Here is a 23,990-nt window from a genome sequence, read left to right on the forward strand (position 1 = left end):
TCACTGCATTAGCCAGGATGGTCTCGCTCTCCTGACCTCATGATCTGCCTGCCTCGGCCTCCCAAAGTGCTGGGATTACAGGTGTGAGCCACTGAGCCCGGCCAAATATTCCAATTTTTAAACATCAGCTCAGTTTTTAAAAGCCAAACCTTAGTAACCCAAGCAAAACACATCTACAGGCCAGTTTGTCCGTCGTCAGTCTGTCTTGGTGGGAAAGACAGGAACTCTGGAAACAGATTTGGGTTTTCTCAGCCCCTGGATATCCTTGGGCAAGCTGCATGTCTTCTGGTGACTCACTTTTCTCAGTTGTGGTATGGAAATATCCCGCTTCCCCAGTTGTGAGGACCAACGAGAATTACTAGTCAGGTGGAGGGGCTTAGCACGGTGCCTGGTGCCTGGTAAACCTTTACCTGGTAGCCATTGCTGTTATTCATTTATTTATTTATTTTACACAATAATTTACTTATTGAGAGCCTTCTCTCCCCGCCCTTGCAGTCTCTAGGTCACTTTTTCCACTTGTAGATTTTGTGCCCAAGCCCCAGAAAGATGGCTGGGGGCAGGGGCTCTGCGTACTATTCGATGAGACCCATAACGTGGCTGTAACTGTCTTTCTCATACTGCAAGAACACGGCTGGCAGATCCAGCTCCTCGTATAGTGCCTTCACCCGGGCCACCTTCTCGGCCTCCTTCTGCCTGTAATTTTCCTTCAGGATCTGGTACTGTTCTGGAGTGGCCTGTAGCAGACACTGAACCACCAGCCAGCTGCATTTGTTGTCCTGGAAGTCATTGCCAACTCTGCCAGTCACACTGGGGTCCCCAAAGAAGTCAAGGTAATCATCCTGAATCTGAAAGAACTCTTGAATCTCCAGCAGGATCTTCTTGGCACTGGTGTGCTCCTTCTTGTCATCCATTCTTGACATGTACATGGCTGCAGCTACAGGAAGGTAGAAGGAGTAGAAAGCTGTCTTGTACTTGACAACAGATTTGTGCCTTTTTTCGGTGCATCTGCGAAGATCCACATTGCCCTGGGGGGTTGTGATGAGGTCGAGGGTCTGCCCAATCTCAGTCTGATAAGAATTCTGCTGGAAGAGCTCCATCAGGTTCAGGTAATAGGGCTGCTCCCGGCAATACAGCTTCAGCAGGCAGTAGATACATGCTTCCAGAAGGATAGCATCATTGATGGCATCCAAACCCATGCCCAGCTTCTGATACCAGGAGATCTGTCCCTGGCAGGTAAGGGATGAATCCATAATGTCATCTGCCACCAGGAAGAAAGCTTGCAGCAGTTGCGCATACCAGCCCACAGTCGGTGCCCACTGGAGACTATCAGCATCCAGTTTCCTCGGCTCCACCAGCTCCCGGAACGCTACTAGCACCATCAAACCTCGGTGATACTTGCCTCCAATGGCATTGTACTCCAGGACCTCCTTGAGCCGGGCAGTAGCATCTCCTGTCTCTGGGTGCCCCATCTCATCCTCAGTCAGCACCCTAACGATCTGGGAGTAGTGCTGAACGAAATCCTGCTTTTCTTGGGCATAAATATCTGATTTCTGGTTTCCATTCGGTCTTTTTTTTTTTTTTTTTTTGAGACGGAGTCTTGCTCTGTCGCCCAGGCTGGAGTGCAGTGGCGCGATCTTGGCTCACTGCAAACTCCACTTCCTGGGTTCACGCCATTCTCCTGCCTCAGCCTCCCAAGTAGCCGGGACTACAGGCACCCGCCACCGCGCCCGGCTAATTTTTTGTATTTTTAGTAGAGACAGGGTTTCACCATGTTAGCCACGATGGTCTCGATCTCCTGACCTCGTGATCCGCCCGCCTTGGCCTCCCAAAGTGCTGGGATTACAGGTGTGAGCCACCGCGCCCAGCCTGGTTTCCATTCATTCTGAGGGAGGAGCAAAGGGCTGTGTTCCTGGATGCGGGTTCCTGCTTGGCTGTTATTTATTTTTGTTTAAAGAGACAGGGTCTCGCTCTGTTGCCCAGGTTGGAGTGTAGTGGCACGATCATAGCTCACTGCAACTTTGAACCCCTAGGCTCAAAGCAGTCCTTCTGCCTCAGCCAGTCAAAGTGCTGGGATCACAAGGTGTGAGCCACTGCACCAGGCCTGCTATTACTGTTACCATTACACATCCACTGCTGCCCCTATTACTCCCCTACTTTGCCCTCTGGGTAGGCCCGTAAACCAGGGCTCCACCTTCTGACTGGCTGCAGGTGGTCAGATTGCTCTTGGCTACCCAGGAGCCAGTGGGTTCTTGGTTCTGGAGAAGCTGGTTGACCACAAGGGAATTGTAGGTTACTGGGGCCGGCACCATGGGTGCCCTTTGGAAGGTTCTGCTCTGACCTATCCCTGGAGGCCCCAGCCAGAAGAGTTGTCACTTCCCTTCCGGCCACCCACTGTGCAAGAGACAAATCACATGCTAGTTTCGTGCCATCTTCCAGTAAGATGTGGGAGGCACTGGCCTGAGTGATCCCTTTTCAAGCAAAGCCGCATCTCGCCGTGCTCACAGGACTACTGTCATAGGAACATGGATGGTTTGTTCTTCCATTTTTGTGGAGCTCGGGGATGGGGGGATGTGTCTGTTGTCAGGGAGGTGCCATGGTAAGTTGACAGGGCCTGATGTTAGTGAAACTACACTGGGATAGCAGCAGCCATTTAAAGTAATAATGGTAAGACACAGCGGTGGTGGTGGTTTGGTTTATATTTATGACCTTTTAAAAGTGTTTGGCATTTTCAGGGAGGTTTGTTTTTTGTTTTGTTTTTTGAGGCTCATGTTGCCCAGGCTGGAGTGCAATGGTGCAGTTCTCGGCTCACTGCAACCTCCGCCTCCTGGGTTCAGGGGATTCTCCTGCCTCAGCCTCCCAGGTAGCTGGGATTACAGGTGCATGCCACCATGCCCAGCTAATTTTTGTATTTTTAGTAGAGACGGGATTTCACCATGTTGGCCAGGCTGGTCTCATACTCCTGACCTCAGATGATCCGCCCCCCTCAGCCTTCCAAAGTGCTGGGGATTACAGGCATGAGCCACTGCACCTGGCCAGGAGAGTTTTTTTCTGATAATAGAAGTAATACTTTCTCACTTTAGAAAATGTGAAAAGTTCAGATATATAAGGAAGTCAAACAAAACGTCTCCTATATATGAAGAAGAAAAGAAGCAAGTTTAAAAAAAAAAAGAAAAAAAAAGGTCTTCTATCGTTTCTCCACTCAAAGACAGCTGTTAACATTTTATTGACTTCTATGGAGTTTGCCCTATGCTTCTGTTTTATGTAATAGAGACAGTGCTGTAGTGAATAGCTTCACGTCAACATTTTTCTATAATTTTCTGAAGTTAGAGTCTTAATTATTGGATCAAAGGAAGTGAACATTTTTAAACCTCTTGATACATATATTACCAAATTGTTTGCTTTTCCGTTTTTTTTAATAAATAGAGATGGGGGTCTCTCTGTGTTGCCCAGGCTGGTCTTGACCTCCTGGCCTCAAGCGATCCTCTTCCCTCCACCTCCCGAGTAGCTAAGATTATAGGTGTGAGCCACCATGCTCAGCCGCTGATTTTAACTTGTATGTTTTAAACAAAATTTCTAGTAAAGTAGAACATTTCTTTGATATGTTTGTGTCAGGATTTGACTCTCCCAGGTCTTTGGAGAGGCTTTCTAACAAGGCATCCCCCGTGGGTGGCCATCTGCCCTGTGAGAAGGTCATTTCTAGTTCCAGGTCACGCACAGTGTGTCAGCTGGTGGGGTGTGGAGTTTCAGGCCCAGGCCTCCTGGAAAGTGCCCGAAAGAGAAACGGCTTAGAAAATAAGGACTTTAACGGTGGTGTGGGTTGAGTTTGGAAAGTTTAGACCATGTTAGTGGAATCAGAGCTGGGAAGAGGTTCTAGAAGTTACCTCCTCTCACTGGTTTCCAGTCCACACTTCTCAGAACTCTCCCATTTTGCAGTCAGGTGCAGTGGCTCACATCTGTAATCCTAGCACTTGAGGAGACCGAGGTGGGCAGATCACTTGAGGCCAGGAGTTTGAGACCAGCCCTGGCCAACATAGCGAAACCCCGTTTCTACTAAAAATACAAAAATTAGCCAGGTGTGGTGTGGTGCACACCTGTAGTTCCAGCTACTCAGGAGGCTGAGGCATGAGAATCACTTGAGCCTGGGAGGCAGAGGTTGCAGTAAGCCAAGATCGCACCACTGCACTCCAGCCTGTGTGATGGAAGGAGACTCTGTCTCAAAGAAAAGAACTCACCTATTTTGCAAAGGAGCTTCATGGTTCTCTTGAAGAAAAATAGGAATGGAGGCCACCTCTGTGTCAAAAACAACATCCCACATTTCTGTGTTTCACTTTTTTTTTTTTTTTTTTTTTGAGACTGAGTTTCACTCTTATTGCCCAGGCTGGAGTGCAATGGCGCGATCTCGGCTCACTGCAACCTCCACCTCCCGGGTTCAAGCGATTCTCCTGCCTCAGCCTCCCTAGTAGGTGAGATTACAGGCATGTGCCACCACGCCCGGCAAATTTTGTATTTTTAGTAGAGATGGGGTTTCTCCATGTTGGTCAGGCTGGTCTCGAACTGCCGACCTCAGGTGATCCGTGCCTGGCTTACTTTTTTTTTTCTTTTTCTTTTTCTTTTCTTTCTTTCTTTTTTTTTTTTTTTTTAAGAGATAGGGTCTTGCTATGTTGCCCAGACTGGTCTCAAACGCCTGGCCTCAAGTGGTCCTCCCACCTTGGCCTCCCAAAACGTTGAGATTACAGGTGTGAGTCACCACGCTTGGCGTGTTTTACATGTTGACGGACAGCATATAATCACATGTATAAGGGTTTCTGCTTGTAAAAGTCTGGAAACCCATTCTAACTGCCAGAATCACAAAACCTAGAGAAGGGGACATAACTGCCCTGTGGCCACCCAGTAGCTTTTATCTTCTCTCGCGACGGCAGAGGCAGGACAGCCAGCATTCTGGTGAGGATTGAAGGATTAGTTGTAAGAGATTTCAGCAGGTCTGCAGTGATCAGATGGGTTTCTCACATATTGTTAAGTTGAAAGTAGCCGTGGCTCAGTATGAGTTGAGTACCTGTTTAAAATCTGCATTCAAAGCCTTCTTCCCAGAGGCCACAACTGCAGTGAGATCCAAGTGTGTGGCTCACCCGCCCCGGGGCTCACAGCTGGGCAGGGTGATTTCCACTCAAATTCTTGTGCCAGTGCAGATCTTGTTCTAAAGCTTTTCTAAATGCCTGGAGACTAGAAAGACTTTTGGATACTTTTCCCTTTTTCTTTTGGATGAAATTTCATCTCCAGTAGAACAGCAGCATTCCATGGTGCCTCAGCCACGATCCTCTGGAGAGAGATTTGCGGCGAAGACCTGACGAGAGACTGTAAAGGAAAAGCAGGGTTTGTTTTTCCTGGTCAAAGTTGTTAATACTAAAAAAAAAAGAAGAAAAAAAAACTTTGGCCAGGTGCAGTGGCTCACGCCTGTAATCCCAGCACTTTGGAAGGCCAAGGCAGGTGGATCACCTGAGGTCAGGAGTTCGAGACCAGCCTGGCCAACATGGTGAAGCCCCGTCTCTACTAAATACAAAAAAAAAAAATTAGCCGGGCTTGGTGGTGGGTGCCTGTAATCCCAGCTACTTGGAAGGCTGAGGCAGAAGAATCGCTTGAACCCAGGAGGCGGAGGTTGCAGTGAGCCGAGATCACGCCATTGCACTCCAGCCTGGGCAACAAGAATGAAACTCTGTCTCAAAAACAAAAACAAAAACAAAAAAAACCCTTTGATCATTAAAAAGTTATATGACTATTTTAGAACATTTGCAAGTACAGAAAGAGGTAAAGAAAGAATAGCCCAGGTGCAGTGGCTCACACCTGTAATCCCAGCACTTTGGGAGGCTGAGGCGGGTGGATCACTTGAGGTCAGGAGTTTGAGACCAACCTGGCCAATGTGGCAAAACCACATCTCTACTGAAAATACAAAAATTAGCCAGGCGTAGTGGTGCGTGCCTGTAATCCCAACTACTTGGGAGGCTGCAGCAGGAGAACTGCTTGAACCCGGGAGGCGGAGGTTGCAGTGAGCCAAAATTGCACTGCTGCACTCCTGCCTGGCGACAGAGCAAGACTCCTTCTCAAAAATAAAAAAAAGAAAAAAAATCCCATAATTCTTTGATTCCAGTGACATTTTAGTGTTGTTCTTTCCAGACTTTTAATTTTTAATTAATTTATTTTTATGAGACAGGGTCTCTGTCTGTCACCCAGGCTGGAGTGCAGTGGTGCAATCATGGTTCACTGCTGCCTCAACCTCCAGGGCTCAAGCAATCCTCCCACCTCAGCCTCCTGAGTAGCTGATACTACAGGCACGCACCACCACAAATGGCTAATTTTTCTAGTTTTTGTAAAGACAGGCTTTTGCTGTGTTGCCCACGCTGGTCTTGTATTTCTGGACTCAAGCGATCCGCCCGCCTCGGCCTCCCAAAGTGCTGGGATTACAAGCATGAGCCACCGCGCCTGGCCCTTTCTTTCATTTTTTAAGACTGATTTGTATTCCATCATTAGAATGTTCCATAATTGGTGCAAGAATTCCTTTATTGTAAAGTGTTTAGGCTGCCTCCAAATTGAGGCTTTTTCCCATGGCCAATTATAATACTAATAATTTTCATAATGAAGAACCGGCATCATTAGGAGCTGGAACAAATTAGGTTTTTAAGCTGCAGCTAAGTGATGGTTAAGCCGAGGCTGCTGCAGAGACTGGTGCACCGACACGCCACTGTATTGTGCATAATTGCTGGGTTCAAGGGGAACGCAGTGGGCGTTTCTGGGCAGTGACTCAAAGGTGCCTGTGCCCCCGGAGCAGAAGGCTCACCCCTCCTTTGGTGTTTCAGAGCCTCTGGGATATTGGGCACCTGAAGAACTGCAGCCGCAGCTCTGCCCTCAGGGAGTTTCTGTTTTGGTGGGGAGAAGGCCACTGAAACCAGGGAGTGCGGTTGTGTTTGCGTAAGTGCCCTGCGCCGTGCACACAAGGGTAGGTGGAGCCAGCCGTCTCTGGCAAGCTGTGGGTCAGGGGGCCCAGGAGAAGGGGATACCATGGTTGGGTCTGGAAGGATGGGCGTGTTTGCTTGGGGGCTGGTATAGAGGGAGGATCAATTGCTAGAAGGTGGTAAGTGGCTTGGAATGTTCTGGAACTTTCTAGAATTAGATGTGGGTATCAAAGGTGGCGGGCTTGGTGTGAGTAGGAACAGTGGCTGGTCATGGAGGGGCTTGTGTGCCTTGTCATCCTCTGGAGTCTCCAGTACCCTCCTAGGGCCTGGGCCATGGCGCGCCCTCCATTGGGGAGGCTGCGTGCCTTCGTGGAAAGTTTTAGCTGAAGTCCTCGCCTATATTTCCCAGGCTGTTTTGCAGAGTTGTGAGAGTTGGTTCATCGGGCCATGAGGACATGTTGGGACATACCCCGTGTGCCGATGATGGAGGCGGCCGTGGCTGCCCGAGAGATGCGTGACACCCAGGAGTAATTGGCTTGGAAGGCAGTCCTCTGATTTGTACCTCATTGTGGTTACAGAAACTTCCAATTGAAGACACTGAGCTGAACCATTCCGCCCGCCCGCCCGCCTGCCCGCCCGCCCGAGGGCACTCCAGGTCTGATCTTTGGGGCGGGTTGTGGGCTTTTGTCGGAGGAATTGGCAGCTCCGTGGCGGGCCTGGCACCCACAGAGCTGCCAATTCCTGTGTTCGGAGTTGTTGCAGGCCTGACTCACCTGTGTTCTCATGCTGTGTACTCAGGGCTGCCCTTGTGGCCGTTCCTCCTTGAGACTGAAAGGGTGGGCAAGTGCTAGGGGTGAGGGGCCAGGAGAGGCAGGGAGGCCAAGATGGGTTGACTCTCTGCTGTATGCCTAGTGCTGTGTGGGCACCTTATACACACCCGTCTGTGTTATCCTCATGAAAAACACTTAGGATACATGTTGATAACTGCATTTTCCCAAAGAAAGCAAGCTTGGCGAGCTTAGATACTTCCATCAAGATGATACAATAGCCAGGCATGGTGGCGCGTGCCTGTAGTCTCAGCTGGGTGACAGAGGGAGACCCCTGTCTCTACAAAAAATTAAGAGATCAGTTGAGTATGGTGGCACATGCCTGTAGTCCCAGCTGCTCGGGAGGTGGAGGCAGGAGGATGGCTTTAGCCCAGGAGGCCATGGGGCTGCAGTGAGTGGTGATTGCGGCCACTGCACTCTAGCCTGGGTGACAGAGTGAGACTCGGACTCTAAATAAATAAATAAATGAATAAATAAATAAATGTCACCTTTTATTAAGTAGTGTATGTGTGACCTTGAGTTATTCAACCAAGGTCACACATACATGACTAAGAGGCAGCACAGAGAACAAACCCAGGTCGGGTCTGGCTCTAAGGCCCATTTTCTTAGCTAGGAGGGCTCAGTCTGAGCTTCACCTTGGGCTTCACTTACAGGCCCTGCTTAAAGAGGGGGAAAGGAAAAGGAGAGAACGACCCTCGTCTCTCAAGCACTATACACCCTCATTGTGACAACACGCCCATGAAGGACCCTGGCCAGTAGGGCCCCCACTGATACAATCTGGTGATTCCCGAGCATACACATCATATTTTATCCCCATTTTGCCAATGAGGAAACTGAGACCCAGGTAGTTACAGTGACGTCCTCATAGTCGCGTGGCTTGTGATAAGATGGGGACCCTGGCTTCTGGTGTGGTCCCAGACTGTACTACCCCAGCAAGGTTTCAGTGAGAAGGGTAAGACCACCTTCCCTGGAAGGGAGACAGATGTGGAGCAGCACCTGGAAAGAAGCAGGCCTGGGCTCTGGCATCAGTGTGCACACACACTGCATCAGCTCTGATTTTTTTTTTTTTTTTTTTTTTTGTAGAGGTGGGACCTCTTGTCACTGAGGCTGGAGTGCCTTGGGATTATAGCTCACTGCAGCCTCTAACTCCTGGGCTCAAGCCATCCTCCTGCCTCAGCCTCTTGAGTAGCTGGGACTATTGGCATGCACCTCCGCACCTGGCTAACTTTTAAATTTTCTGCAGAGATGGGATCTCACTGTGTTGCCCAGGCTGGCCTCAAACTCCTGTGCTCAAACCACCCTCCTGTCGCAGCCTCCCTAAACACTGGCATTACAGGTGTGAGCCACCACACCCAGTCCCCTTGACCTCTTTCAGCCTTGGTTTCCTGTCCGTAAGTGGGAGAAATGTCACCTTGGCAGTCTGTGCAGCTTAGGAGAGACAAGTACATTTGATGTTGGTTACTAAATGTTGGACCCTGGACCGGCACTCCAACAGCCGGTGCCCTGGGGGGCAGCCATCAGGTGGGGCATTTGCAGGCCTCTTCTTATTCAGACAGCTCCAGGTGCTGAGCGGAATCATTGTCCACATTCACTCTGTCATTCTGAAGCGGTGTGTAGAACATTCTAGAACACTCACCACGTGGCATGCCCCTGCTGGGTCCCGGTGATGCAGCTGTGAATGAAGCAGGCTTGGGGTTGCTGCCACCTGGGGAGGAGCAGAAGGACTGTGGTCACAGCCACACGTGGACGCGGTTACTAGGGTTCTGGTGGGTGCTGTGGAGGGTGCAGAGGGCGTGTGATGGGTCATCCTGAGCGATGCAAGCTGGGCCTGGAGGACGTGGAGTGTTCGCAAGGGAAGAGGGTGGGCTGGAGTGACTGCAAGGAGAAGGTCTCGGGAGGTGGAGCTCGGGATGTGGGGAAGAGCTCCCTGGGCCTGGTGGCCGGTCAGCAGGGGCCAGGTCGGGGAGTGGGTGCAGAGAGCCTTGGAGAGGCCAGAGAGGGGTGATTCGGTGCCCATCTAGGGCTTCCTTTTTGGTTAGCGATGCTTCAGGGCACCTGGGAGACATGAGGAGCTAGAACCTGTGTTGCAGTTCCCAGCTCTGCCCCTGCTCCCTGGGTGTCCCAAACCCTGCTCCTTTCCAAGAAATGTTGGGTTCTCATCTTCAGGATGGTGGGTGCTAATAGGGAGGCTGAGGTGGGTGGATCACCTGAGGTCAGGAGTTTGAGACCAGCCTGGCCAACATGGTGAAACCCCGACTCTACTAAAAATACAAAAAATTAGCTGGGCGCAGTGGTGCATGCCTGTAGTCCTAGCTACTCGGGAGGCTGAGGCAGGAGAATCACTTGAACCTACGCGGGAGGTGGAGGTTGCAGTGAGCCGAGATCACACGCCTGGGTGACAAGAGTGAAACTCCATCTCAAAGAAAAAAAAATACATGCATGATGAAACACACTAAGCAGTTGGGTCAGAGGGGAATTATCAGTAGCAAGAAAGAAGCTGGGCTGGTGACTAGCACCCGGAATTTATGCTCTCTTTCTTCATGGGCCTGTGCGGTGGTACGTAGGCTGCGGGATTGACTTTGAATTCTTCCTGGCTGCCACAGCAAAGAGACAGGATCAGGTTCTTGATTCATGATGCCCTTAAGGTGTTAGGGGAAGAAAAGCAAGCGTGAGACCAGGCGCGGTGGCTCACACCTGTGATCCCAGCACTTGGGAAGGCTGAGGCGAGTCTATCCCTTGAGGCTAGGAGTTTGAGACCAGCCTGGGCAACACAGACATCATCTCTACAAAAAGTAAAAAAATGAGCTGGGTGTGGTGGTGAATGCCTATTGTTCCAGCTGCTCTGGAGGCTGAGTTGTGAGGATTGCTTGAGACCAGGAGTTTGAGGCTGCTGTGAGCCAAGATCACACTGCTGCACTCTAGCCTGGGTGAGAGAGTGAGACCCTGTAACCAAAAAAAAAAAAAAAAATCAGCTGTGGAAAAGCATCACGTGTTTCCCCTGCGCTGAGGCTGACTCTGCAGGGCTACTGATGTGCATTGGTAACTGCTCATGTCTGTCCTGTTCACAGATCTGCCGGAGGCGCTGGGCAATGACCCCGGGACTCCAGGCCAGAGGGGTCTGAAGCTGTTTGGGAAAGCAGCGGGACTCCTTGGGAAGATGGCCATGGCCCCAAGCCCTTCCCTGGTGCAGGTGTACACCAGCCCCGCAGCTGTGGCTATGGCAGGATGGGCTGGGCACCTGGCACCCCTACAGTGCCACCATCTGCAGCTTCATCGAGCAGCAGTTTGTCCAGCAGAAGGGCCAACGTTTTGGGCTTGGGAGCCTGGCCCACAGCATCCCCTTGGGCCAGGCAGACCCCTCGCTGGCCCGTTACATTATTGACCTCCCCAGCTGGACCCAGTTCCGCCAGGACACCGGTAAGACGCTGTCTGCCTCTCGCACATATCTGGGCGCCGCACCTGCTTTCCCACAGGCTCTGCGCCAGGTGTTGGGGTGATGGACGTGACTTACAGAGCTTCTGCTCTCTCCCTGCAGCACACGTGGTGGTGGGTGGGTGCAGTGAGTGGGAACATCCACATAGGTTGAGTGCAGCTCACAGTGGGAGAGGCACTGTGGGAGGCCCTTCCCCTTGTCTTGCAAAGCAGAAATGCCTGTTCCGACCACAGAGGTTGAAGGGTTCCTTTGGCCGGCAGGCCAGCATGGAGGTGGTGCGTCATAGGAGTTCAGAGGGCCCTGTCCCACCACTCAGTGGCTGTGTGCCCTGGGCAGGCAACTGCGCCCCTCTGCGTGTGTGCGTTTCTGCTTTTTGGTCTGCGATGTGTTTTGATCTTTTTTTTTTTTTTTTTTTTTTTTTTTTGAGACGGAGTCTGGCTCTGTTGCCCAGGCTGGAGTGCAGTGGTGCAATCTCGGCTCACTGCAACCCCTGCCTCCTGGGTTCAAGTGATTCTCCTGCCTCAGCCTCCCGAGTAGCTGGGATTATAGACATCCGCCACCACACCTGGCTAATTTTTGTATTTTTAGTAGAGACGGGGTTTTGCCACGTTGGCCAGGCTGGTGTCGAGCTCCTGACCTCAGGTGATCTGCCTGCCTCGGCCTCCCAAAGTGCTGGGATTACAAGCATGAGCCACCGCACCTGGACCTGCAGTGTGTTTTGATCAGTATTATTGAGAATGAGGCACCAGTTTCCTCTCGGAGCCATCCCTTACTCTAATCTGGTGGTTGTCACTGGGGGTGATTTTGTCCCCGGGGCCATCTGACAATGTTTGGAGACACTGTTGGTTGTTACAGCTGAGTGGGTGGGAGGTGGGGGTGCTCCTGGCATCTGGTGGGTGGAGGCCAGGGATGCTGCTCGCCATCCGGCAGTGCACTGGGCTGGCCCTGCAGTAAGGAATTATTGGCCCACAGTGTCACCAGTGAGGAAACTTGAGAAACTGGTTTTTCCTTTTTTTTTTCAATTTTAATTTTAGTTTTATTTTAAAAAGTATGGGTTTTTTTTATCGTGTTTGTTTGTTTGTTTGTTTGTTTTTTGTAAAGACTGGGTCTCCATCGCCCTGTGTTGCCCAGGCTGGTCTTCAACTCCTGAGCTCAAGTGATCCTCCTGCCTTGGCCTCCGAAAGTGTTGGGATTACAGGCTTGAGCCGTCATGCCCAGCCCTGGAAACTGTGTTTCCAGGAGTGTCGTAGAGTCTGTGAAAACTGTGGCTGTCAGTCAGCTCCCAAGTCATTGCCTTCACAGTGTGTGAAGTCAACTGACAAAGATAGCAGACAGGATAAATAATAACATGGAAATTGCATATCGTGGCAGAGAGCAGGAAGTGTTAATCGGGGAATGAAAGTGGCAGGTGTTGTAGAGGTCGATTTGAAGTTAGGTGGGTGTGGTGTCATGTGCCTGTAGTCCCAGTTATTTAGGAGGCTAAGGCAGGAGGATCGCTTGAGCCCAGGAGGTCAGGGTGGCAGTGAACTATGATCACATCACTGCACTGCAGCCTGGGTGACAAAGGGGTACCCTGCCTCTAACAATAAATAAATAAACAAATAGCAGCATGACTGTGTACCTACTGTGTTCCTATTTGTTTATTTTGGCGGTTGAAAAAAGAATTTGAACGTTCCCTGTATCTTGGGGATGCTAGCAGACTAACCTTTGGTTTTCCTTTGAAAACAGGCACCATGCGGACTGTGCGGAGACACCTGTTCCCCCAGCACTCAGCCCCTGGCCGAGGTGTCGTCTGGGAGTGGCTGAGCGACGATGGCTCCTGGACCGCCTATGAAGCCGGCGTCTGTGACGATCTGGAGCAGCAGGTGGCCAGGGGCAACCAGCTCGTGGACTTGGCCCCCCTGGGGTACAACTACACTGTCAACTACACCACCCACACGCAGACCAACAAGACTTCCAGCTTCTGCTGCAGCGTGCGGCGCCAAGCAGGGCCGCCTTACCCAGTGACCACCATCATCGCTCCGCCGGGCCACACAGGCGTCGCCTGCTCTTGCCACCAGTGCCTCAGTGGCAGCAGAACTGGCCCTGTATCAGGCCGCTACCGCCACTCCATGACCAACCTCCCTGCATACCCCGCCCCCCAGCACCCCCCCCACAGGACCGCTTCTGTGTTTGGGACCCACCAGGCCTTTGCACCATACAACAAACCCTCACTCTCCGGGGCCCGGTCTGCGCCCAGGCTGAACACCACGAACGCCTGGGACGCAGCTCCTCCTTCCCTGGGGAGCCAGCCCCTCTACCGCTCCAGCCTCTCCCACCTGGGACCGCAGCACCTGCCCCCAGGATCCTCCACCTCCGGTGCAGTCAGGTATCGTGGGCAACGGCCGCTCGTTTTGTCTGCCCTGTGTTTCTGCTCTTAGCTGGGAAGACTCACCCCAATTCCTGCAGATGCGGCTCCTGCCCCCTAGGTGGTCCTGCCGTGGCATCTCATTTGCATGTGGCATGTGGGTGCCGAGGTGCCGTGGCCGTCCAGAGCCTACCTGACCCCTTGTACCTGAGTCCTGGCAGTCACCACACGGGTTAGAATCTACAGTCCTTTCACTCACGATGATTAAGGGCCTCCACATGGAGCAGTTAAAGGCCTGTGGCCTCTGCTTGCGGGCTGCATGGCGAGCATTGTGCCCGAGAACACTGGGTCACTGCCTGTACACTGACTCCCGCCTTGTGCCAGGCCCTAAGGACCCAGAGACCAGAGTATCAGCCCTTACCCCTGAGCCCTAGTCTAGTGCAAGGGGCTGTCAGCGCGGTGTGAGGGAGGGCAGAATGTGGAGCACGTGGCAGTGGCTGCAGGTGGCACGGGTGACCTGGCCCCCGTGATGATGCAGCCCAGCCCAGAGTGCCTGGTAGAGCGCTCAGCTCCTTGAGAGAGAGAGAGAATGATACCACGGGCCCAGTGCAGACCAGAGCGGGTGGCATTTAAAATGAGGAGATTGGTCAGGCACAGAGGCTGACACCTTTAATCCCAGCACTTTGGGAGGCCAAGGCAGGAAGATCATTTGAACCCAGCAGTCAGAGACCAGCCTGAGCAACATAGCGAGACCCCATCTCCACAAAAAAAAATTTTTTTAATTAGCCAGGCATAGTGGTACACACCTGTAATCCCAGCTACTTGGGAGACTGAGGCAGGAGGATTGCTGGAGACCAGGAGGTCAAGGCAGCAGTGAGCTGTGATCGCGCCACTGCGCTTCAGCCCCCTAGGTGACAGAGCGAGACCCTGTCTTAAAGCTGGGCCCAGTGGCTCACGCCTGTAGTTCCAGCACTTTGGGAGGCCGAGGTGGGCGGATCACCTGAGGTCAGGAGTTCAAGACCAGCCTGGCCAACATGGTGAAACCCCATCTCTACTAAAAATACAAAAATTAGCCAGGCATGGTGGCCAGCGCCTGTAATCCCAGCTACTTGGAAGGCTGAGGCAAAAGAATCCCTTGAACCCAGGAGGTGGAGGTTGCAGTGAGCCAAGATCGTGCCACTGCGTTCCAGCCTGGGCAACAAAGAGCGAAACTCCATCTCGGGGGAAAAAAATAAAAAAGATAAAATGAGGAACCCCCCCAGGATTTCCCTGGATTTGGCCAAGGTGAATGGGCTGGCCGTAGCCCTCTGACTGTCTGGGTGACTTGGGGCTTCGTCATTCATTATTGAGAATGTTGGGCTTGGAGCACATTTTGAGAATTCAGAGTGGTAGCTGGGACAGGGCTTTCTGAGAGTGCCCTGGTGCGGGTGGTGAGGGAGTGGGTGGGCCTGGGGCCGCCCTGGTCCCAGGGAGGAAATCATCTCCTTTCTCCGCACTGGCCCTGGTCGGCATCCTGCTGCCTCCCTGCTCACCGGCCCACCCCTGCCCACCGCAGCCACATCAAGGGCTGAAACTTCACAGGGTGGTTGAGACCGCCTTGGCAGCTTCTTGGACCTCTAGTATTTGTTCAGACTGGGTTTCCGAGGACCCTGCCAGCTTGTGTAAGACACAGTGACAGCGCCTCCCGCTCATTGGTTCGTGTCATGTGCCAGGCCCTCCTGAGCAGGCTGCTTGAGTGACTTCACTCATCCCACGATGCTCTCAGGCTGAGCAGTGTTCTTCGCTTACAGGAGAGCACATTCAGGCCCATGAGGTTGGCGACACAGCCAGCAAGTAGCGGAGCTGGGATTCAGCCCAGACCCCAAGAGTGGGCTATCTGGGGCACATGGGGAGTTATTGACATTCCCGGGAAGGCAGGGGGCTCTTTTAATACATTTTAATTTTATTTTATTACTATTTTTAAAGACAAGGTTTTGCTCTGTCACCCAGGCTAGCGTACAGTGGTGCAATCATGGTTCACTGCAGGCTTGAACTCCTGTGCTCAAGTGATCCTCCTGCCTCAGCCTCCTGAGTAGCTGGGACCACAGGTATACACCACCACACCCGGCTAATTTTTCAGTTTTACGTAGAGGCAAGGTCTTGCCATGTTGTCCAGGCTGGTCTTGAATTCTTGGCCTCAAGCAATCCTCTTGCCCCAGCCTTCCAAAGTGCTGAGATTATAGGCATGAGCCACCACACCTGGCCCAAAAGGCCTCTTGAGGGATGAGCTAGGAGGAGGCCAGTAGACAGGAGGGTGATGGGCCTTGGGTGAGTCAGAGTTTTCCGGGGCATCTTCTGCCAGGAGTTGGGGCACGTGCATCTGAGATCTTTCTGGGAGTTGGGAGTATAGGAAGGTGTCATCGGGGCTCTCTGAGGACATAGACATAGGCAAGCCAGGCTCAGGGAGATGCTCCCCCAACTTCCCTCCCTGAGTATCTGGGTCAGCCTGTTTCAGAGAACAGTGTGCTCTATCTGCTGGCCCAGGAGGGTTCTTAGAGGTGCTGGGACTTCTGTCAGCCCTGTTCCACTCAGCTTCCTGGAGCTTCTTAAGTTCTTAGGAATTATTTTGAGGCAAATTTCTAGATAGTGCTAGAGCTGGGATTCTGGAGTTAAGTCATTTAATGTGGATTTGTTCCTTTCTCCTGGTATTGGGCCTCGTTGGTCTTTCCTAAACCATTTCCGTTTCTCCCAGTATTTCTCTGGGGTCCCCGTCCCTGGCCTGAGGGCCCCCAGAAGTGCTGATGTGGGTCCTACCGGTGTGGGCCAGGCAAGTTACAGAAAAGAAGGTGGATGGGCCAGTCTGTCTTCCCTTGGTGCTGGGGTGGGCATGCTGTGGCTTGCCCCACGTTGTAAGTCAGGAGGGAACCAGGCCAGCAGGCTCTGTTAGTGGAAACAGCCTCAAAGGGGCCTGCCTCCTGGGGTAGGTGTAGGTGCATCCTGATTCCTTTGGTTTTCTTGGAGCTGGGAGAGGTGTAATTCACCTGCACGAGCCTATCTACGCGCTGAAAAACAGGCTTTTCCCCTGCCTGATTTGTAGTGAGGCCCCCTGCAGTTAACCCTCCTCTGACGGATGTAGAGCCAGATGGGGCTTAGTAAATACCTGACCTCTTAACCTAGCAGGCGGCAAGGTTCTCACAGCCAAGTGCATGTCAACAGCATCAGGTGAAAGTTACCTTGGATGTGAGGAGGCAGGCAGGGCAGGCAGGGCCCGTCTAGAGCCAGCGCCATGGGCTGGGGAAGCCCGAGAACCGACTTTTTACTGGCAGCCACTGGAAATACCATGTGAGCGCGTGAAATTGAAAAATTTCCTGGAACTCACGTGCACAGCTTCCACGTGCCCCCTGGGAACAGGCCGTGATACAAGAAAGCGTGTCATCTGGGGCTGAGCTGCTGGGTGGCAGTAGATTTCCTGGTAGCTGAAGTTGATCCCTTTAAGCACCAAAACTTGTGTTTTAATGATGTTGGATGGAAATCTTTCCTAAATGTGTCATGCATGCTCTTGTCTCCCTTAATGGAGAGAGTGTGACACTGCTTAGCACTTGGATGGCTTGGGGTGGTGGTTATGACCAGCAGTCTGTCACAGCTCAGCGAGGTGAAGCCTGTGGGCGTTTTGCTCTGTGCTGAATGGCTCAGTGGCCCTGCAAAACGGCGCTCAGCTCTTGGTGGCTTTCTGTTGTGGTGGGCTGCTGCTGCTGCTGCTGCTGCTGCTGCCCTTGCCTCTAAAAGAACTCACTTCCTCTTCCTCCTGCTGCCACCTGTCTTTTGGCTTGTGGGATTGGAGTCATGGGGCCCAGATGGAGCCTTGCTCCTGACTTATGATAGGCCCTCGGTCTCTTTTCTTCTCTATTTTTTTCTTCTTTCTTTTCTTTTTCTTTGTTTTTTGTTTTGTTTTGTTTTAAGAGACAGGGTCTCACTCTGTCACCCAGGCTAGAGTGAAGTGGTGTGATCGTGGCTCACTGCAGCCTCAAACTCCTGGGCTCAAGGGATCCTCCTGCCTCAGCCTCCTGAGTGGCCAGGACTACAGGCTTGTGCCATTGTGCCCAGCTAATTTTTTAAATTTTTTGTAGAGACGGGTCTCACTATATTGCCCAGGCTGGTCCCAAACTCTTGGCCTCCCAAAGCACTGGGATTACAAGTGTGAGCCACCGTGCCCTGCCTCTTCTTCTTTTGAGCTAGTCGGTTTCTGAGGTTGCCTTCTGCTCTATTGTTGCTGTGGTTTTCAGGATGTAGTTAGGGCCCTACAGGAAAGTGCCTGGTGGCCCTTAGGGCCTGGCTTCACCTCCCTCTGCTCCTCCAAGACCTTGGCCCCATGGATATTTGTCCTGGGTCTCACCACTGCCCTGGCGGCCTTTGGGAATCATCCTCACAGGTAGAGGAATTGAGGCTCGGGAAGGGGACTTGCCATGCTCAGCACACACGGCTTTGAGCGGGAGCATACGCCTCTAGCATCGTCTCCAGCCTCTGCAGCTCATGGGACTGGCTGCCAGCCCCAATCCCAGAGGGTGTGGACTTGGAGAGGGGCTTTGGATCTCCTTCCTCTCCGGCCTCCTGGCTTTGCCCCTCGCCCTGCATAGAAAACTCGGAGTCCTCATGTCTCACGTTTCCCACTCTGTCTGGGATCTCCTGGAGATGGTCACAGACAGGAAAGCCAGGGAGGGCCTAATAGGTGGACCAGGAGTTGGGGAGAGGAGGAGGGTGCCTGAGGCCATGACTATAGGGACTTCTCAGAGAAGGACACTTCAGGAGGCAGTTGGTGCCCCCATCTGGGAACGTTCTGCAGGTCCGAGCCCTCTGAGGACGGTGAGGGCGATTGATAACCTCTGAGGTTCCGTCCACCCCTAGGGGCCCCTATCTTGGGAACCTCTGGATCCTTGTACGGTTCAGTTCCTAGAGGTCACAGCAGGGACACACACCGGGGAGGAACTGCGATTATATGGGGGAAGTGGTGACATTTTTAGAGCTTTCTACAGAACATTCTCCTGGTTCCTGCTCTCCATTCACAGGGTGAGCGCCCACTGGAAGCCTCGCTGTGCTTCTGCTTTCTCCTGTAGTCCTTGGAAGCAAGGACTTCTTGTTCGTTCTTTAGGAACGGAAGCAAACGTTCTCGTTCAGATATGTGCCTCTCCCTGGTGAAGGAAGACCTCACTTCCTGGGATTTTTCTGTGGGATGGAGCAGCCAGGGACCCCATCTCTGGTGGGGGCGGGGCGGAGGGGGGTGCACCATGGGCTTAGAGCCCCTCTGGGCCAGTGCTGCCTAGCCTGCTGCATAGCCCATTTGTTTTGTAGACTTGCAGTGCCAAATTTCAGCTTTCTGGGCTCCAACTATGGGCTTGAGCTCAGTGCTGCCCTAGAGGGTCCTGAATGCCTTCACTTATGGAACCTTAGAGTTGCAGAGACCATCAGAGATGATCCACTTTCCTTTAAAAAAAAGAAAAGAGGGCTGGGTAGGGTGGCTCACACCTGTAATCCCAGCACTTTGGGAGGCCGAGGTGGGTGGATCACTTGAGTTCAGGAGTTCAAGACCAGCCTGGCCAATATGGTGAAACCCCGTCTCTACTAAAAATACAAAAATTAGCCAGGCGTGGTGGCGGGCACCTGTAATCCCAGCTACTCGGGAGGCTGAGGCAGGAGAATTGCTTGAGCCTGGGAGGCAGAGAGGTTGCAGCGAGCCGAGATCACGCCACTGCGCTCCAGCCTGGATGACAGAGTGAGACTCCGAGAAAAAAAAAAAAAGTGGGGGGAAGAGTTGAAACCAGCTGAGGAAGGGGAGGAGCTTGCTCCAAATGAATGAAACTGAGTGTTCAGTAGAGTCAGGACCTTGACCCAGGTGTCCAGACTCCCTGCCCTTCTTAGCATTATCAGGGCCCCCAGATCCACTACCAGCCTTGCCTTTGGATCGGGAGTAGGCAAGGAGAGCAAGAAGCTGCTCTTTGCTTAGCACGGCCACAGAGGCAATCCTGTTTGAGAACAGTCAACAAACAAACTCAAACAGGCCATGCACAGTGGCTCATGCCCATAATCCCAGTGCTTTCAGAGGCCAAGGTGGGAGGATCTCTTGAGGCCAGGAGTTTCAGACCAGCCTGGACAACATAGCAAGATTCTGTCTCTCTCTCTATATATATAAAATTAGCCAGGTGTGGTGGTGCTCACTTGTAGTCCCAGCTACTCAGGAGGGTGAGGCAGGAGGATCACTTGAACCTGGGAGGTGGAGGCTGCAGTGAGCTATGATCGCACCATTGCCCTCCAGCCTGGGTAACAGAGCAAGACCCCAACTCTGGGCCCAGCATGCTTCCAGTGTGTCACTCTACCGGCATGACCCTACCTCTTAAAAAAAAGAAATATGATGACTTAAGACCAAATGAGTGGCCAGGTATGGTGTCTCATGCCTGTAATCCCAGCACTTTGGGAGGCTGAGGTGGGCAGATCACCTGAGGTCAGGAGTTTGAAATCAGCCTGGCCAACACGGTGAAACCCCTGTCTCTACTAAAAATACAAAAATTAGCAGGGTGTGGTGGCTCATGCCTGTAATCCCAGCTACTTGAGAGGCTGAGGCACGAGAATTGCTTGAACCCAGGAGGCAGATGTTGCAGCGAGCCAAGATCATGCCACTGCACTCCAGCCTGGGCCACAGAACGAGACTCTGTCTCAAAAAATCCAAAGACCAAATGAGTGACTTGAACATAATCATTGTAGGGAACACAACCCTCATATTAAAAAAAAAAACAACAACAACCTTTATTTTATGGTAATTAAGTTCCGGAAAAGTTAACAAAAGTAGTTGGGTTTCCATATCTCCCTCATCTGGCTTCTGACATTAACAGCTTTCATAACCATGGTTCAGTTGTCAGATCCAGAAAATTACCACTGGTTGGCTGGGCACGGTGGCTCACTCCTGCAATCCCAGCACTTTGGGAGGCCAAGGCAGGCGGATTACGAAGTCGAGAGATCAAGACCATCCTGGGCAACGTAGCGAAACCCCGTCTCTACTAAAAATACATAAATTAGCCGGGTGTGGTGGCACGCACCTGTAGTCCCAGCTACTCAGGAGGCTGAGGCAGGAGAATCGCTTGAACCTGGGAGGCAGAGGTTTCAGTGAGCCAAGATCACACCACTGCACTCCAGCCTGGTAATAGAGCGAGACTCCGTCCCCTCACCCCCGCAAAAAAAGAAAATTACCACTGGTATAATACTCTTAACTAAAGGTTTTTTTTTTCTTTCTTGATTTTTCACCAATTTCCCACTACTGTCCTCTTTCTGTCCCAGGATCCAATCCAGGGTCCCACTTTGCTTCCAGTTCTTATTCTCCCCGTCCTCCTCTGGGCTGGAACAGTTTGTCAGTCTTTATCTTTCATAACCTTGTTACTTTCAAAGAGGTGCTTTGTTGAATGTCCCTTAATTTGAGTTTGTCTTGTTTTCCCATGTTTGGACAAAGATAATGCCCTTTGTTATTTCTTTTTTGACAGAGTCTCCAGCCTGGGCTGGAGTACAGTGGTGAGATCATAGCTCACTGCAGCCTTGAACTCCCAGGCTCAAGTGATCCTCCTGCCTCAGCCTCTCAAGTAGCTGGGACCACAGGTGCATGCCACCACACCTGGCTAGTTTTTTACTTTTTAGAGATGGGGTCTTGATTGTTGCCCAGGCTAGATAATGCATTTTTGACATTAAATCCCCCCAAAATGGTGTTGCATCCCTCCCAGAGCATCCTATCGTGGGGTTTATGATACTGACCTGTCTTTTACTGGTGATGACGGTCATGATCATTTGCTAAAGTGGTGTCTGCCAGGATTTTTCTCCTCTAAACAGGTGCTATGAGAACCTGCTTTTTTTTTTTTTTTTTTTTTTTTTTTTTTTTTGAGACTGAGTTTCTCTCTGTTGCCCAGGCTGGAGTGCAGTGGTGCGATCTCGGCTCACTGCAACCTCTGCTGCCCGAGGTTCAAGTGATTCTCCTGCCTCAGCCTCCCAAGTAGCTGGGATTACAGGCGCCTGCCACCATGCCTGGCTAATTTTTGTAGTTTTAGTAGAGACAGGATTTTGCCATCTTGGCCAGGCTCGTGTTGAACTCCTGACCTCGCGATCCACCCACCTTGGCCTCCCAAAGTGCTGAGATTATAGGCGTGAGCCACTGCACCCAGCCATTTTTTTTTTTTTTTTTTGAGATGGAGTCTTGCTCTGTTGTCCAGGCTGGAGTGCAGTGGCACGGTCTCAGCAACCTCCACCTCCTGGGTTCAAGTGATTCTCCTGCCTCAGCCTACTGAATAGCTGGGACTACAGCTGTGTGCCAGCATGCCCAGCTAATTTTTTATATTTTTAGTAGAGATGGGGTTTCACCGTGTTAGGATGGTATCAATCTCCTGACCTTGTGATCCACCTGCCTCAGCCTCCCAAAGTGCTGGGATTTCAGGCGTGAGCCACCACGCCTGGCCTGAGAGCCTGCATTTTGATGACACTAGTGAGTGTAAAATATCTTTTTTTTTCTTTTTATTTTCTTTATTCACAACAGGTATGAAATGATTGTTTTCAGAGTCTTTTTTTTTTTTTTGAGACAGGGTCTCACTCTGTCGCCCAGGCTGGACTGCAGTGATGTGGTCATGGCTCACTGCAGCCTCAACCTCCTGGGTTCAAGCCATCCTCCTGCTTCAGCCTCCCAAGTACAGGTGCGCACCACCACACTTGGCAGACTTTTAAAAATTTTTTTGGAGATGGAGTCTCACTATGTTGCCCAGGCTGGTCTCAAACTCCTGGCCTCAAGTGATCCTCCCACCTCATCCTCCCAAAGTGCTGGGATTACTGGTGTGAGCCACCACACCCCTCCTGAGTCTCTCTGAATTGCCCAGGAAAACAAAACCAAAGGCCTCCACACAGGCACCCAAGGAGCGTAAAAGCGCGAAGGCACCTCAGTGACTCCCACTTGGCCATGACGCAGTGTTTCTCCAGCTCTCGTTTCCAATAAGTCAGCGGTGTGCAGTAAGCTCTGCTCTTTTCTCCCCCAGTGCCTCCCTCCCCAGCGGTCCCTCAAGCAGCCCAGGGAGCGTCCCTGCCACTGTGCCCATGCAGATGCCAAAGCCCAGCAGAGTCCAGCAGGCGCTCGCAGGTAGGTGCCTGCCCTCGGGCTGCAGAGCAGTCTGTGCCCTGCGGGACTTGGTGGGGAGGAAATTGTGATGTGGGGCCTTGTCACCCTCTGGATCCTCAGGGAGAGCCAGAGGGGCTCCCTGGGGGAGCAGTGCCTCTTTCTGGTGATGGTGTCACCCCAGAGTGAGCCCAGGTGCCCCTCCTTTTGCTCTCTGGGTACGTGGGCCTGATGACGGTGGGCGCTCGGGTGCAGACCTTTTCACATCCTTTAACATTTTTGCATTGAATTGCATTATATTTAAATAGTCACTTTCCTGTCCTGAAATACTTTAAACATTTCCTTAAAGGGGCCCTCTGGGGAATTAATAGATCTATTTCGGCTGTAGTTACTCTTACATCTTGAATAAGAGGCACCTTTTGGGTCCAACCAGATCTTTTGCTGTACTAACCATACATCTTACATCTTGGAACTGTTTTGGGTTTGGTTTGGTTTTTTGTGAGACAAGAGTCTCGCTCTGTCACCCAGGCTGGAGTGCAGTGGCGCTAACCCAGCTCACTGAAGTCTTGAACTCCTGGGCTCAAGCAATCCTTTCACCTTAAGGATCCTTAAAAATACCTACTGCTGGCCCCCACACCCATTCTGTTTTAGCAGCCTGGCTAGCAGGGTTTTCAGAAGCTCCACAGGTGGCAGGATTTTTTTTCTTTTTTCTTTTTTTGAGATGGAGTCTCTCTCGCCCAGGCTGGAGTGCAGTGGTGGGATCTCGGCTCACTGCAACCTCTGCCTCCCAGGTTCAAGCAATTCTCCTGCCTCAGCCTCCCGAGTAGCTGGGATTACAGGTGCATGCCACCACGCCCGGGCAATTTTTGTATTTTTAGTAGAGATGGGGTTTCGCCATGTTGACCAGTCTGGTCTTGAACTCCTGACCTCAAGTGATCCATCCGCCTCGGCCTCCCAAAGTGCTGGGATTACAGGCATGAGCCACCGTGCCTGGCCATTTTTTTTTTCTTGTTATAAGTGACAGGATCTTGCTCTGTTCCCCAGGCTGGTGTGCAGTGGTGTAGTCATAGCTCACTGCAGCCTCCAACCCCTGGGCTGAAGCGATCCTTCTGCCTCAGCCTCCTGAGTAGCTGGGATTACAGACACATGCCACCATGCCAGGGAAGTTTTTTATTTTTTGTAGAGACAGGGTCTCACTATGTTGCCCAGGCTGGTCTTGAACTCCCAGGCTCAAGCCGTCTTCATGCCTTGGCCTCCCAAAGTGCTGGGATTCCAGTCATGAGCTGCCACGCCCAGCTGAGGTTATTTTCTAACTTCTGGAAAGTTCGAGGTA

At 51.8% G+C, this 23,990-nt stretch overlaps 3 pseudogenes across 1 annotated transcript in view, besides 2 other annotated features; 2 read left to right on the forward strand and 1 right to left on the reverse strand.

The window, feature by feature from the left end:
* The window catches only part of DTX2P1 (DTX2 pseudogene 1), a 44,590-nt pseudogene that overhangs the window by 7,921 nt on the left and 12,679 nt on the right, over positions 1-23,990 (forward strand).
* FDPSP7 (farnesyl diphosphate synthase pseudogene 7) lies at positions 448-1,622 on the reverse strand (annotated as a pseudogene).
* The window catches only part of DTX2P1-UPK3BP1-PMS2P11 (DTX2P1-UPK3BP1-PMS2P11 readthrough, transcribed pseudogene), a 42,940-nt pseudogene continuing 32,083 nt past the window's right edge, over positions 13,134-23,990 (forward strand). The window contains exons 1-2 of the transcript NR_023383.1: positions 13,134-13,572; positions 22,581-22,681. The product of NR_023383.1 is annotated as a DTX2P1-UPK3BP1-PMS2P11 readthrough, transcribed pseudogene (transcript). The remainder of the gene's footprint in view (positions 13,573-22,580; positions 22,682-23,990) is intronic.
* Positions 15,878-16,451: an enhancer, noted in NCBI's record as "H3K27ac-H3K4me1 hESC enhancer chr7:76612883-76613456 (GRCh37/hg19 assembly coordinates)". NCBI's record gives its function as "activates a minimal SCP1, AML or CMV promoter by ChIP-STARR-seq in naive H9 embryonic stem cells {active_cell/tissue: H9 hESC(naive)}" and the evidence as "EXISTENCE:reporter gene assay evidence [ECO:0000049][PMID:30033119]".
* Positions 17,121-17,400: an enhancer, noted in NCBI's record as "active region_26202". NCBI's record gives its function as "activates an Ori minimal core promoter by ATAC-STARR-seq in GM12878 lymphoblastoid cells {active_cell/tissue: GM12878}" and the evidence as "EXISTENCE:reporter gene assay evidence [ECO:0000049][PMID:35858748]".

The sequence above is a fragment of the Homo sapiens genome, chromosome 7 (genome assembly GCF_000001405.40).
Source record: "Homo sapiens chromosome 7, GRCh38.p14 Primary Assembly".
In the NCBI taxonomy this organism is placed as follows: domain Eukaryota; kingdom Metazoa; phylum Chordata; class Mammalia; order Primates; family Hominidae; genus Homo; species Homo sapiens.